Here is a 16,304-nt window from a genome sequence, read left to right on the forward strand (position 1 = left end):
TCACTAATAATCTAAGGAATGGGAAAATGAAATAATATAAAAATATTTAATTAATATGAAATCAGGCAAAAAAGGAGGTAGTGGAACATAAAAATCAAATAGTACAATAGTAGATTTATTTCAGTTTATTGGTGATTACGTTACATTAACTGGACCAAGTTGTCCAATTAGAAACAAAGTTCTCAAACTAAGTTAGAAAAAGTATACAGAAGATATACGATAAATCAAAGAACATAGAAAGATTGAAATAGACAGCTAGTACAAGTTAGAACATGAAAACATTAGCCCAAAGAACACTAGTGTAACTATAGCTAAAAAAGTAAACTTTAATGCAGAATGCATACCAAGACATTAGAATATATACCTCATTAAAGGAAAAACATAGTTCACTAGGAATATTTAAAATTTCAAATTTTTAATGCAGCCAATAATAAAACCTTGAAACATGACAGCACTGAAAAAAGTAAAAGAAAAATGTATAATTATAGTGGAAAGTTTATCACTCCTTACTAATGGTTATAGAAACAGAAAAAAAATAGTACAACTTTAATGAAAGATTTCAAGAACTTAACTAAAAGTTTGTCCTGACTGACTTATTTTTAGTTTGTGATCAGCAACTTCAGACTCCATAATGGCATTTATAAAATTCGAAATTATATTCAGACTATTCTTTGATCATGGTATATTTCTGCTAGACATAAACACATAATTTTGTATCTCTATCTCTATATCTATATATACACATATGAGTCACTAGATGTATAGAACTGAGATACTTGTATATAACCCATAAATAAAAGAAAAACCAGAATGAAAATTTGTAGAAAATTTATAGGCTTAAATTGATATCTTAGAAAAGAACATTTGAAAATCAATGATCTAAGCTTCCTTAAAAGGAGCAAATTAAGACAAAAGAAGTTATCTGCAAGGAAATAATATAAGATTACAGCTTAAGAATGCAAAAATAAAAAGGTGATCAACAAATCCTAGAATTGTACCTTTGACAGTCTTTGTAATTGATAAATGCCTTGTAAAACTTGAAGGAAGGGAGGAAGGATGGAAGGAAGGAAGGAAGGAAGGAGGGAGGGAGGGAGGGAAGGAAGGAAGGAGGGAAGGAGGGAGGAAAGGAGGGAGGGAAGGAGGGAGGAAAGGAAGGAAGGAAAGAAGAAAGGAAGGAGGGAAGGAAGCAAGGAAGGGCGGGAGGGAGGGACGGAGGGAGAGAGGGAGAGAGGGAAGGAAGGAAGGGAGACAGGGAGGGAAGGGAAGAAGGAAGGAATGAAGGAAGGAAGGAAGGGAGGGAGGGAGGAAGGAGGGAGGGAGGGAAAGAGGGAGAGAGGGAAAGAGGGAGAGAGGGAAGGAAGGAAGGGAGCGACGGAGGGAGAGAGGGAGAGAGGGAGGGAAGGAAGGGAGAGAGGGAGGGAAGGGAGGAAGGAAGGAATGAAGGAGGGAAGGAAGGAAGGGAGGGAGGGAGGAAGGAGGGAGGGAGGGAAAGAGGGAGAGAGGGAAGGAAGGAAGGGAGGGAGGGAGGAAGGAAGGGAGGGAGGGAGGGAGGAAGAAAGGGAAGGAAAGGAAGGGAGGCTATCTAATATAAGAAACTGAAAATTTAGAAGACACCAATAGAATATTATGAAAAATTTTACTCCACATTAAAAAATTTAGATGAAATGGACAGTCCTAGAAAAAATGCAGCTTGCTACTTTTGACACAGATGAAATAAAATAATCAAATATTACTATATTTATTGAAGAATTTAATATAAAATCTAAAACTTTTCTATAGAGGTAATTCCATTTTCAGATGATATGACCAATGAATTCAATCAAATATGTAGGGGAGAATTAATGCTGGTATTACATGACTCTTCCCAAGACTAGGAAAAATAGGAACAAATTTTGATAACATATTCTGTCAAGAGCGTTATCACTGGTAAAAATTATAGGCCAATTTAAATCATGAACACAGATGCAAAAATATAAAATATTAACCAAAACATGCAATGAAATATAAGAAGAAGAGCATATCATAATCAACTTGGGTTTATCTCCTAAATATAAATTTAGTTTAACATTTGAAAAATGACCCATGTTTTTTAGTACTATATTAAGTCATTTGATTTCAACATATACAACTCCCTTAACAAATTAAACACTTAGTCATGAAAAAGAATTTAGAAAACCAGAAATTGAAGAATATTTTCTTAATGCAATATTGAGTACGTACAATAGGTATGTAGCTAGCCTCATACTTTATGGTATGATGTTGAATTATTTTTATTTAAAATAAGAAAAAATTATACATGTTATCATCACTTCTATTCAACATCTTACTAGAGGTCCAACCCAATATAATAAAAACACCAATAAGAAAAAGTAATGTATATTGTAAAATAAGAAATAAAAGTGTCATTACAGACAGCATAATGATATGCCAGAAAATAGAAGTAAATCTCCAAATAAATTTTTAAAATGAAGAAGTGAGTTTGGGAATAATACTGAACATAAGCTCAGTGCTCAGCACACAAATATCAAAAGTATATGCACATACCAAGCACAAAAATAAAAATGAAATAAATTTAAAAACACCATTTTCTTTTTCTTTTTCTTAACTTTTATTTTAGATTTGAAGGTATATGTGGAGGTTTGTTACATGGGCAAATTGTGTGTCACAGGGGCTTGGTGTACAGATTATTTCATCACCCAAGTAATAAGCATTGTATTCGATAGGTAGCTTCTTGAGCCTCCTCCTCCTCCCAACCTCCACTCTCAAGTAATCCCTAATGTCTGCTGTTCCCACTCAGTGTTTAGTTCCCACTTACAAGTGAGAACATGCAGTATTTGATTTTCTGTTCCTATGTTAGTTGGCTTAGGATAATGGCCTCTAGCTCCATCCATATTGCCGCAAAGGACATGATCTCATTGTCCTATACTACTGTGTAGTATTCCATGGTATATATGTACCACATTTTCTTTATCCAGCCTACCATTGATGGTTATTCAAGTTGATTCCATGTCTTTGCTATTGTGAAATAGCAGGTAGTGCTGTGATGGACATACGCATACATGTGTCTTTATGGTAGAATGATTTATATTCCTTTGGGTATAAACCCAATAATGGGATAACTGGCTCAAATGGTAATCTTGTTCTAAGTTCTTAGAGAAATCTCCAAAAGCTTTCTACAGTGTGAACTAATTGATATTTCCACCAGAAGTATATAAGTGTTCCCTTTTCTCCACAACCTCACCAGTACTTTTTAGTCATGAAAGAACATCATTTCCAATAAATAGAATTGAACAAATTTTTAAAAACTAAACTAGTGAAAAATTAGCAAGAACCCTGCTCAGACAAGTGAAAGTATTATTGAGAGATAAATAATTATACAAGTCAGATAACAAAGAATACATATTATTCAATTTATTTAAGGATTTCTATGGCAAATTTGAACTTTAGAATCAGATGTCAGAGTAGTGGTTACCTTTCATGAGGAAGGAGATGGTTGGAGTGAAGATTGCACAGAAAGAACTATTTCTTGTGGTCTATTTCTTTTTTTGGATGAGCATTACATGCTTGATTTCTGTGATAATTTGTTGCATTATAGATTCATTTTATGCATTATATATATGTGTTATATTTCAAAATACAAACATTTAAAAATCCTAATCATTAATATAACAGAAATATTATTTTATATACAGTATACATTTATATATATTTATATACATTTGACCATTGGACAATGTTGGGGTTGGGGTGCCAATTCTCATGCAATTGACAATTTATGCATAACTTTTGACTCCTCAAACTTAACTACTATAGCCTACTATTGACTGGAAGCCTTACTGATAACATAAATGATTGATTAGCATGTAAATAGACTAGTATCTATGTGTATTTTATGCATTTGCTACATATCTACCTTAATAAATAAACATATTGATTAAAAATAATCTGTGTATAAGTGGACCCTTGTAGTTCAAACCTGTGTTGTTCAAGGGATATATATATATATATCCATACAGCAAAGGTTAAGAGAATCTTACCAATACAGAAAGAGTACAAATCCCTTTGCTTAGTTGCATGTTCTGCTTGTTTGTGTGTCTAGAAACCCAGAGTGAGGATCCCGTTCATGTCCTGATATGATTGTGCCAATGAGAATAAACTACCCACCTGGCAGCACCTTACCTCCTTTAGGCCAATAGAAGTTATTTAGAAAATTACCTCTTTCAGTGAATTAAATAAGCCAAATAGATTTGTATAGCCTTCCATGCCAAATGTAAGTGATAAAGCTGCCCCTATATTTAGGATTAGACAGTGAAGGCTGGCTTGTATGAAAAATTGAGTTTCATTTGCCAAAAAAGGAAATCAGTGCCAATTAAAAAAGCCAAATGCAGTGATGGTCACTGCTTTTCAAAGAAAGTGTGTATAGGGGCTGGAGGGGAATTCCCCCATTATTTATTTTTATGAATGCCTCTCAGCAGATGATGTCTATTCCTGCAGAGCTACACAAATATTATCTTGAGAACAAGTTTTTTAGAAAAATGAAAAAAATCTATTGCTTCTGTCAAAAATTATGCGCTGTATCAAGACAATAAAGCTACACAGGCTTTATTGTTCTATTGGCAGTCCATTGTTAAATTACCAGTCTGTTTGTAACTTAATGAGCATTCCACAAGCTCCTTCTGTTATACCTTTGCTACTGAGAGAAGTAAAATAGAGAACTGAGCAATCATTTGATTGAGTAACTGATCCCAAATTCCCACAATAAAGACAATTATAATTATTTTGCAAATTGACATAAACATAAAATACATACCTTTAGAACATAAAATTCAATTGCATCAATCAAACAAATATGTTCAGCATTTTTATTTCTGTGTTTATAATTTAAAAAGAAACTTAGAATCAAACAATGTAAGGATACCCACTTTCATCCCTCTATTTAATAGACTCCTCACCAGGGAAATTAGGCAACAAATAAATAAATGAAATACATTGAAATTGGAAAAATAAAACTAAAATTATTTCTTTTAAAAGACATGATCTTACACACAGAAAATCCTAAAAATGTGGCAAAAAACTAATAGGGCTCAGTTCTAATTTAAATTCAGCAATGTTGCAGAATACAAAATCAACACATGAAATTTAGCTGCATATCATTGTTCACTAATAATGAACAATCTGAAAAGGAAATATAAAAAACAATTTCATTTACTTAGAAATAAATGTAACCAAGCAGGCTAAAGACATGTACACTAAAAACTATAAAATGAAGCTGACAGAAATTAAAGAAGACATAAATAAATGGAAATCCATTTTCACTGATTAGAATAATGTTAAAATGTCAATACTACATAAAATGATCCATAGATTTAGTGAAAATCCCTATAAAAATTTCAATGATGTTTTTTGCAGAAATAGAAAAATACATCCTAAAGTTTACATGGAATCTCAAGGGACCTGAATAGCCAAAACAATCTTGAGAAAAAACACACTTGTAGGTCTTATGCTCCTTAATTTCAGAAGTTATTACAAAGCTACAGTAATCAAAACAGTGTGGTACAGGCATAAATACTAATTGGCAGTAATAGGCAGTCCAGAAATCAACCCCTGAATTCATAATCCAGTTATTTTTTACAGGTGTGCCAAAATTATTCGATGGGAAAAGAACAGTCTTTTCAACAATTTTGCTTGGGAAAATATATCTACATGCAAAAGTTGGATATTTATATTACACCATGTACAAAATTTAACTCAAAATGTATCAAAGACTTAAACATAAGAGCTAAAATATAAAACTCTTAGGAGAAAATATGGATAAAAGAATTCATGGCATTGAGTTTGGCAATGATTTTACAGGTATGACATAAAAAGTACAGATAACAAAAAAGAAGAAATAGATAAATTGGCCTTGATCAAAATCAAAAACTTTCATTCATCAAAGAACACAATTAATAGAGTGAAAAGTAAACTGCTATAATTTGAAGATGGTTTGTTCCCATCAAAACTCACGTTGATGCTTGTTCCCAAGTGAGACATTGTTGAGACATTGTGCCTTAAGATTAGATCGTTAAGAGAAGTTAATGTCTTTTTTCCAAGAGTAAATTCTTGCTCTCCTCAGACTGATTTAGTTACCCTGGCTGTTATAAAATGAGGCTGTCTCTCATGTCTGGTCTCTTAACAACACCTGCTTCCCCTTCTGTTTCTCTATATTTTCATACTGTACAAAGCCTTTACCAGAAGCTTCCAGATGCAGCTGTCCAGTCTTGAACTTCCCAGCCTAGAGAACCACGTGCTCAATAAACCTCTTTCCTTGGTATTCTGTTATGGCAACACAAAATGGAGTAATACAGAAATTGATACTGAGAAGAGGAACTATGTTATATAGATACCTGAAAATATAAAATTTCTAACTGGGTAATTGATAGTGACTGGAAGAATTTGGAGAAGCAGGCTAGAAAAATCCTGTATTGCAATGAAGACAACATTAAGGGCAACTTTGGTGAGGACTCCAAAGATGAGAAGACTAGGTAAAGTCTTGAACTTCTTAGAGACTGGTTAAATAGTCTGGCCAGAATGCTGATAGAAATATAAACACTAAAGGCCATTTTGATGAGTTGGCCTATGGAAATGATGGACATCTTACTGACACTAGAGTAAAGATCATTTTTGTTACATAGTAGCAAAGAACTTGGCTGCATTGTGTCTATGCCTTAGGGCTTTGTGGAAGACTGAATTTTTTTTTTTCTTTTTTTTTTTTTTTGAGACGTAGTCTCGCTCTGTCACCCAGGCTGGAGTGCAGTGGCACAATCTCAGCTCACTTTAAGCTCCGCCTCCCAGGTTCACGCCATTCTCCTGCCTCAGCCTCCCTAGTAGCTGGGACTCCAGGCACCTGCCACCACGCCTGGCTAATTTTTTTTTTTTTTTGTATTTTTAGTTGAGACAGGGTTTCACCGTGTTAGCCAGGATGGTCTTGATCTCCTGACCTTGTGATCCGCCTGCCTCGGCCTCCCAAAGTGCTGGGATTACAGGCGTGAGCCACTGCACCCAGCCGGAAGACTGAACTTAAGAGTGATAGAAGAGCGTATCTGGTAGGAGAAATTTCTAAGCAGCAAAATTCTCAGAATGGTGCATGTTTACTTCTACCTGCTTCCAGAGAGCTGCAAAAGAAAAGAGAAGAAGAAAAGAAAGATTTGGAAAATTTACATTTGGCCATGTGGTAGAATAAAAAAGCATTTTCAGAGAGAAAATCAATTATGTGGCCCAGGGACCACTTGCTAAGGAAATTAACATGTTTAAAATGGAGCCAGGTGCTAATCATCAAGACAATCAGAAAGAGGCCCTAAGGTCATCTCAGAGATCTTTAAGTCTGCAGCTTCCATTACAGACCCAGAGGCCTATGAGGGCACAATTGTTTTGGGGATTAAGTCCCTGATGCCCTTCACCTGCTTGCTGCCCATGGCTGCCTTAGAACCCTGCTTCTGCATTCTTGCACAGTGCCCCTTAGCCACACAGCCATCTTTCTGGTGGCCCCTGATGTGGTTCCACCCATGGCTCTGCCCCCTGCTTCAGAACATGCAAGTGGCAGATCTTGATGGGGTCCACATTGTGCTAATTCTGTAGGTATACAGAATGCTAGAGCAGCAGCTACAGTAGGATTCACTTACATTTCAAAGGATGTATGGACTGCCTGGAAGCCTGGACAGAAACCTGCTGCACAGGTAAAGACACCACAGAGATTCCTTACCAGTAGAATGCCTGTGGAGCCATTAAAATGGGGCTCAAAAACTGTCAAGTCACTAACATTGTGCAGTGCCTACCTGGAAAAGACGCAGGCACTGGTATGAAACTCCAAACCATGAGAGCAGCTGTGCAACCTGCACCAAGCAAAGCTAGAGAGGTGGGGTTGCCTGAGGCCTTGGGGCCCCATCTCCTACACCAGTGTGCTCAGGATGTAGGTCATGGAGTCAAAAAACATTATTCTCTAACCTTTAGATTTAATATCTTCCCTGATGGGCTTTTAGCTTGCTTTGGAAAAGTTACTCTGTTCTTCCTATTTCTCCCTTTTAGAATGAGAATGTGTACCCATTTCCTGCTCCACCATTGTGCCTTGGAAGCAGATAACTTGTTTTTGATTTTAGAGGCTTACAGCTGGAAGAAGTTTGACTTGAGTCTCAGATGAGACTTTGGATTTTGGACTTTTCTGTTGATGCAAAGTCGATGCTGAAATAAGTTAAGACTTTGGGGACTATTGTGATGGAATGATTGTATTTTGCATTGTAAGAAGGGAGTGTGTTTTGGGGAAGCCAGAGAGAGAATGTTGTGGTGTGAATATGGTTTGTCTCCACTGAAAGTCATGTCATGTGTTGGTACCCAAGGTAGTAGTGTTGGGAGGCAGTGCTGTTAAGATGTGATTAGGTCATTAAGAAGAATTAACGTTTTTTTGTTAGTTTTTTTTTTTTTCAGGCGCGCTTTCTTGCTCTCATGAGATGTGATTTGTTATCACACAGCAGATTGTTACACAGTGAGGCTGCCTCTCATGTTTGGTCTCTTTTTACATACGCCTATTTTCCCTTCTGCTTCTTCTCCATGTTGTAATGCAGCATGAGGCTTTCACCAGAAGCCATCCAGATGCAGCTACCCAATCTTGAAGTACCCTTATTGGAGAACCATAGGCTAAATAAAACTCTTTCCTTTACAAATAACACAGTCTCAGGTATTCTATTATAGTAACACAAAATGGACTAAGATAACAACCTACAGAAAGGGAGAAAATATTTGCAAATTATACATCTGGTAAGAGGTTAATATCCAGAATATATAAAGTACTCCTAGAACTCAATGGGGAAAAAAAAATCAACCCCGTTTAAAAAATGAGCAAATAACTACAGACTTTTCTCTAAAGAGATATACAAATGGACAATAAGTACACACAAAAGTGCTCAACATCACTAATAATTGTGGAAATGAAATCAAAACTACAATGGGCCAGGCGTGGTGGCTTACACCTGTAAACCCAGCACTTCAGGAGGTGAAGGCAGGCGGATCACCTGAGGTCAGGAGTTTGAACCAGCCTAACTAACATGGTGAAACCCCATCTCTACTAAAGACACAAAATTAGCTGGGTGTGGTGGTGCATGCCTGTAATCCCAGCTACTCAGTAGGCTGAGGCAGGAGAATTGCTTGAACCTGGGCGGCGGAGGTTGCAGTGAGCCGAGATAGCACCATTGCACTCCAGCCTCTGCAAAAAGAGAAAAATTCTGTCTAAAAAAAAAAAAAAAAAATACAATGAGATGTCACCTCACATCCATTAGAATTACTACTATCAAATAAACAGAAAATATTAAGTGCTGGCTAGGATGTAGAGAAATTGGTACCTTTTAAGCACTGGTGGTGGGAATGTAAAATGGTACAGCTACTATGAAAAATAATACAGCAGTTCCTCAAAAAATTAAAAATAGAATTACCATATGATCCAGCAATTCTACATCTGTGTATATATCTAAAAGAATTAAAAGCAGGATCTCAAAGAAATATTTGCACATACATGTTTATAGCAGCATAATGCATACTAGTCAAAAGGTGGAAGCTAGGCCAGTGTCTATTGATGCATGACTGAATAAACAAATGCGTTATTTTCATACAATGGAATATTATTCAGCCTAAAAAGGAAGGAAATTCTCATACATGCTAGCAACAACATAAATAAATCTTGAGGATATCATGCCATATGAAACAGCCACAGAAAAGACAAATACTATATGATTCCAATTACATGAGGTATACAGAGTACTCAAATTAAAAAAAGAACACAGAATGGTGGTTGCCAGTGGCTGGAGGAAGGGAGAAATGGGGGGTTGTCGTTTCATAAAAATACAGTTCCAGTTTTTCCAAATGAAAAAGTTCTAGAGATTGGGTGCACAACAATGTGAATGTATTTACTACTGAATTGTATATTTCAAAATGGTTAACATGATACATTTTATGTTACGTATCTTTTAATACAATTATAAATTGATTTTAACGAAATTAAGTTAACACAATTAAAACAAATCTTAGAAATGCAAAAATAAAATAAAATAAAAATAAACCTAGAGTTAAATTTTATTTTTATTTAAAAAGTAATTCAACTTTAACTTGTTTAATTTGTTTTGGGTATAATTTATTCCATTTACTAAATAAACAGAAATAATAAATTTATTTCTGTTTATTTAGAAACATATAAATGTTTGTATGGTTTATTAATAAATATGAACCAATGTGAGTATGGTTTATTAATTTGCAGACTATAAGAAAATTTTACTTCAGAAATTACGGAAAGTAAAATAATAAGAAAATATAGTTTCAGGTCAGGATTCCAAAGGCCTCAGTATATATTAACATTAAATATTCAAGAATCCCGTAAATGCTAAAAAGTGCTTCTAGTAATTACATGTACACATTTTTTCCCCAAAGAGATCTGTGTATTTTTCTTAGTTTTTACTACAATAATTAATCCAGTTGGGGAGAGAGTGAAGGGTTGAGGAGTTTGTAGCGATAGTAATACTGCTAAGAGGTCAAGCAGCCTTTAAATTACTCCAGATGATGCATCTAAGTCAAACAAAAAACTATGTAGGCAAAATTAAAAATAGATGAACAATTTCTTCTAGAGATTGTTTGAAACAATAACCATTAAAGTTTTAAACTATAAAGAAGCAGAATAACTTTAAATTTTACGAGCAAAAGAAAAACAAGCAAAACCTTTTGGTCCAAAGATATTTTGCCTTTACAAAACATCAAAACTTTCTGTAGTGTGTTGCCAGATGATTTTGCCCAAGTCTAGGCTACTTGTTCTGATGGTGTTTAATGTAAACTAGGCTAAACTACGATGTTCAGTAGGTTAGGTGTATTAATTGGACTTTTGACTTTGATATTTTCAACTTACGATGGATTTACTGTGACATAACCTCTTCTTAACTTGTGGAGTACCTTAAATGGAAAAAAAAATTAGGAATGAAATTTGCAGACATCTTTAACATTCAGGTGCTTTTATAGCTGGAATTTCCATCAAATACTTTGTTTCTCTGGTCCCTTGATATGTTAAGATGTATTTAGGATTTCATAGGAATTAATTATCTAAACCTAATTTTGGCTAATACCTTTGCTCACAAGTACTGTACTTCTTTGACTAATGGGTAAACTGCCAACACTTTCAAATTTGTTTCCCCAAGTCTTAACTTGGGTTTTCATGATTCCTTAATTAGTCATTTTACTCCAAAGATGAGAAGAAAAATTTGACTTTGGGAATGGGGTGGTGTTTTCAAAAGCATTTTAGGAAGTTGCCCATTGTTAGAAGCAGATACAAATGTGAAAATGCAGTAAATGACATGATCTAGAAATCAGAGTACTTGAGATCATTGATAGAGTGAGTCATCCCTGCTTTTAAATGAGGTAGATCTGAAACCTCCAAGTATCCATGATATTATTTTTTAGAGCAAGAGCTGCTGTGATAAAGGTAGTTCATCCCTTCTAAGAAAGATACAAAACCAAATGAAACTGGCACTAACAATACATTTGTTCTTACTCCAAAAGCTCTCTATTTGTATACCTGCAATCACATACTAATATAATTCTATACACACATCCTTTTCAAGCATAGAATTGGGTCAAATATTGTATTAAGAAACTGCACAGGAGATAGTTTCTTTAGTTTTTGTTTTGTTGTTTGAAAATAGTTTTTTACTACTATTAATTGTATGTTCCCTGAAATGAGTCCATCATATTGAAGAGCTGCTTATGACTTCAATAAGAGAGAGTTTACTGGAGCTATAGGAATGGAAAGTATTGAGCAATGTATGGTGTAGACAAGTAAAAAGAGTAAATGTAGAATATTCCTTTTAGAAGCTTATGCTGATGGAAGAAAGGAGGATAGGGCAATAATGGTTAGATGACAATATGGGGTGGCTTTTACAGTAAAAAGTTTATGATTTATAATTTTGGTAAAAAATTATCAGAAAATATTGGAGCAGGTATAATTGAGAAAGAATATTTTACAGAATATGAGACTATGTAATTTAAGAAGAGGTTTGCAATATAGGGTTAGACTGTGTAGTTTAACAAAAAATAAATATTCTGTGTTTGTCTCAATTTTCTGGCACAGAGTTTCTAAAACTCTTGGAATTTACTGTCTTTTTTTATTTTAATGGGATTCAGGAAGATTCCCTGGATAGCTTCAGGATGGGTTCTGGTCATCAAAAAGACTAAGACAAAAGGGTTTGGACTTTTAGCACAATACCCTAAGCTCCAGGGAGGGGAGAGGGACTGGAGGTTGAGTTAAATCACCAATGGCCAACGATTAATCAATTATGTTTATATAATGAAATCTTTATTTAAACAGGAAAACTGTAAATGACAGGAGCCTGGGAGCTTTGGGGTTGGTGAAAACATGCAAGTACTGGAAGGGCGATGTGTGCTGAACAGAAGCAGCACCTACAATCTCTCCCCCTGCCCCTATACCTCACCCTATGCATCTCATCCATTTGGCTATTCCTGAGTTGAAACGTTTATAATAAAAGAATAAACATAGATAATGTGTTTTTATGAATTCTGTGAGCTATTCTAGATAATTAATGAACATAAATGGAAATAGTGTGAATCCTCAAATTTGCAATTAGCTGAATTTGTAGGTAATGTTAGAATCAAATTGAATTGTTGAATGTCAAGTTGGTGCTAGAGAATTCAAGAATTGCTTGGTATGGAAAAGGCAAATATTTGGGGTCAGAAGTGGTGTTGAGAAACACTGTTTCCGACTGAAAGAAACTTCTTTCTTTGAAAATCAAGGCAAAGAAGTATAGTTGAGTATATATTTTTAGATATGGCATTTCATGCTCAGTGTTCCCCGTGTATATGTGTGTGTGTGTGTGCGCGCGTGTGCGTGTGTGAAAGAGAAGGCTAAATTATATGTTAAATATAAGTGCTGCAGGCTTTATAGATGTAAGTGCTGCCAAGGTCAGGAGATCGAGACCATCCTGGCTAACACGGCGAAACCCCGTCTCTACTAAAAATACAAAAAATTAGCCGGGCATGGTGGCAGGTGTCTGTAATCCCAGCTACTTGGGAGGCTGAGAGGATACGGTCAGAGATAGAGGAAAAGACTTTGAGCTACTGGGACAGTCAGAGATATAGGAAAAAGACTTTGAGCCTATGGGCCATTCCTAATAGCACACACATATTTTGATGTTTCTTCCATTAAAAAACTCATACTGATTTGATATTTTCTTCCAGTTCTCATTATATTTTCCCCATCTCTGTAAGCAACACTTCCTGAAAGTGTAGTTTTTTCTCCCTGTTTCCTGTTTATCTCTTACAATTCCCTCATGGGCTTACTTTAAGTGGGCTCTTATTCCAAAAGTATATCACAAATGTACATTCTAAGTTCTTAAATAATCTACCAAGCCCCAAAGATCTGGCTTTTTTTAAAGTTTTTTTGAGTCAAGGTCTCACCCTGCCACCCAGGCTAGAGAGCAGAGGCCAGATGCTAGCTCACTGCAGCCTCAAACTCCTTGACTCAAGCAATCCTCCTGCCTCAGCCTCCCAAAGTACTGGCATTACAGGTATGAGCCACCTTGCCTGGCCTGTTACTTCTTTGATGTTGTGCCCTTGTTCGGATTTATTTATCCTCAGCCACATTGCCCTTGTTTTTTTTTTTTTTTTTTTTTTTTTTTGAGACGGAGTCTCACTTTGTCACCCAGGCTGGAGTGCAGTGGTAAGATCTCGGCTCACTGCAAGCTCCGCCTCCCAGGTTCACTCCATTCACCTGCTCTCAGCCTCCTGAGTAGCTGGGATTACAGGCGCCTGCCACCTCACCTGGCTAATTTTTTGTAATTTTAGTAGAGACGGGGTTTCACCATGTTAGCCAGGCTGGTCTCGATCTCCTGACCTCGTGATCCGCCCGCCTTGGCCTCCCAAAGTGCTGGGATTACAGGCGTGAGCTACCGCGCCCGGCCCCACATTGCCCTTCTTAATGTTTCTCCCTGATGTAATTATTACACGTGGTATGACTTTCTCAGAACATCACATCTACCCCATGAATATATACACTTATTATGCACCCATAACAATTGAAAATAATAATTAAGTTAAAAAAAAAACAATCGAGCACGTTCTTGAATTAGGACTTCTATACTTGCTCCTCCCTCTTCCTGGAAAGTTATTCTCTCAGGTGTTCACATAATGTGATTTCCATTTTTTTCAGGCCTTTACTCATTTTCTCAGTGAGATCTTACCTGGTCACTCTATTTTAAATTGCCAGCATTATTTTCTCTTTAATCAGTTGATACAACATATATTTTACTTAATACTCCTTGTTTATTATTTTTTCAGCCAAAAACAGAAAGTAAATTCCATATTTTCTATCTGTAGAACAGTGCCTGGCACATAATTATCACTCAATACATTGTTGCTGACAAATACATAACGAATACAACCTCTTTCTTTTGCATGATCAGCATCTTCCTCTTTTCTAGATCATTATACAAACATTATTTTAATATTACTCATCTTTTTAAAAATCTATTATAAGCCTTTAACTTCCCATGGTTACCATTGATTTTCCCTGATCCTATAATAGCAAAACTTAATCTAAAATGTATATCTTTATAATTACTATTTCCTCTTCCTAACGTCTCTTCCGTGCCATATGTGACTCAAATCACCCTTCCAATTACACCTGTCCACTTGTCTGTTGTGACTTTTTTGTTGCCAAAGAATATTCACATCTTCATTCTCTTTGTATTCAAACCACAGAAGTATTCAATATAATTGAACGTTCCCTACTTCTTGACACACACTCTCCTGGCTTTTAAGATGACATATTTATACTTGCTGCCTCAGGTTTTGCTGGTTTGTACCAGTCTGTCTTCTGTATGCCTGATAGGCATAACCTAGTTTATAACCCTGTTTTTCACCTCCAAGGAGGTGTAGGAAAATGCATTTTCAGATTCCTTTTAATCAGAGGAGACTCATAGTTGGCACATTACAAAATTATAGAAATATGTTCAAATGTGTTAGAGGCCAAAATACACGTTCACCATATCTTCACAGATCTAATTTATTAGTAAAGATTATCTGCTTTACCTTCAAAATATATTTTATATCCCTCTGTCTCTTTATCTTTACTGCTTAGTTCAAGCTACCTTCGTCTTTTATGTGGAATATCGAAATAGCTTTGTGATCTTTTGTGGCCATATTCTATACATTTCCACACAGTCCTAGAATGGTCTTTTAAAAAGTACATCGGTATCAGCCAGAGTGGTGGCTTGTGCCTGTAATCCTAGCTACTGGGGAGGCTGAGGTGGGTGGATCACTTGAGGCAAGACCAGCACGGGCAACATAACAAGACCCCACTGCTAACAAAAATTAAAAATAGCTGGGCATGGTGAGGCATGACTATATTCTTAGCCACTTGGGAGGCTGAGGCAGGAGGATCACTGAAGCCTAGAAGTTGAGGCTGCAGTGAGCTATGATTGTGCCACTGCAGTCCAGCTTGAGTGACAGGGTGAGACGGTCTCTAAAATATATATAGATATAGATAGATATAAATAGGTATTCAACCACTCAGAATACACAGTAGCTTTCCATTGCACTTCTACTAAGTCTAAATCCTTACCATGATATACAAGGTTCTAGAAGATCTGGTTCTCTTAACTTTATATCAGTCTCGAGAAACTCCTATAATTTGCCTATCAAGGATTTTCATGCCTTAAATCTTTGCTTTATTCTTCCCGTTGCTGCAATATTCTACTCCTGACAATACCCCTATGAAAACATAGGCTAATTCCTTGTTATTCAGTTCTCATTTTAAAAGTACTTTCTCATATAAACCTTGCCTAATCAAAATAATTAGCCTCTCTTTCATCAGCCCATCATGCTATCCTATCACTCTGTTTTATTTTTTTCTTCATGAGACTTATATTGTTGTATTTTTATATTTTTCTGTTCTCCTCACTCTAGAATGAAAGCCAAGCATATTCCATCATTTCCTAAAACCAAGATAGAGCACATATGGGAACTTGTGAAATAAGGTAAATTTTTAGTTTTAATTCTAAGATAACATTTAATTGAGGAATGAAGTGAAAATTCTCCTTTCCTTTTTTTTTTTTTTTTGGAACATGGGTATGGTCAGCAGCCTCCAACATGACTCCTAAAGATCTCTACCTCTTAGCATTTATACTGTCATGTAATTCTTTCCCCTTAAGGGTGGTTGATTTAATGACTTGTTTCTAATAAACAAAATATTACAAAAGTGATGGGCTGTCATTTCTAATTAGGTT

At 35.7% G+C, this 16,304-nt stretch overlaps 1 long non-coding RNA gene across 5 annotated transcripts in view; it reads left to right on the forward strand.

The window, feature by feature from the left end:
- Nucleotides 1–16,304, forward strand: part of LINC01322 (long intergenic non-protein coding RNA 1322) — a 332,490-nt gene that overhangs the window by 268,264 nt on the left and 47,922 nt on the right. For 3 of the 5 annotated variants that reach the window (NR_174098.1, NR_174099.1, NR_125764.2), the window contains one exon: nucleotides 15,985–16,055. The exons of the other annotated variants lie outside the window; for them this stretch is intronic. This is a non-coding gene — a long non-coding RNA (long intergenic non-protein coding RNA 1322). The remainder of the gene's footprint in view (nucleotides 1–15,984; nucleotides 16,056–16,304) is intronic. 5 annotated transcript variants of the gene reach the window in all.

This window comes from Homo sapiens, chromosome 3 (assembly GCF_000001405.40).
Source record: "Homo sapiens chromosome 3, GRCh38.p14 Primary Assembly".
NCBI lineage: Eukaryota > Metazoa > Chordata > Mammalia > Primates > Hominidae > Homo > Homo sapiens.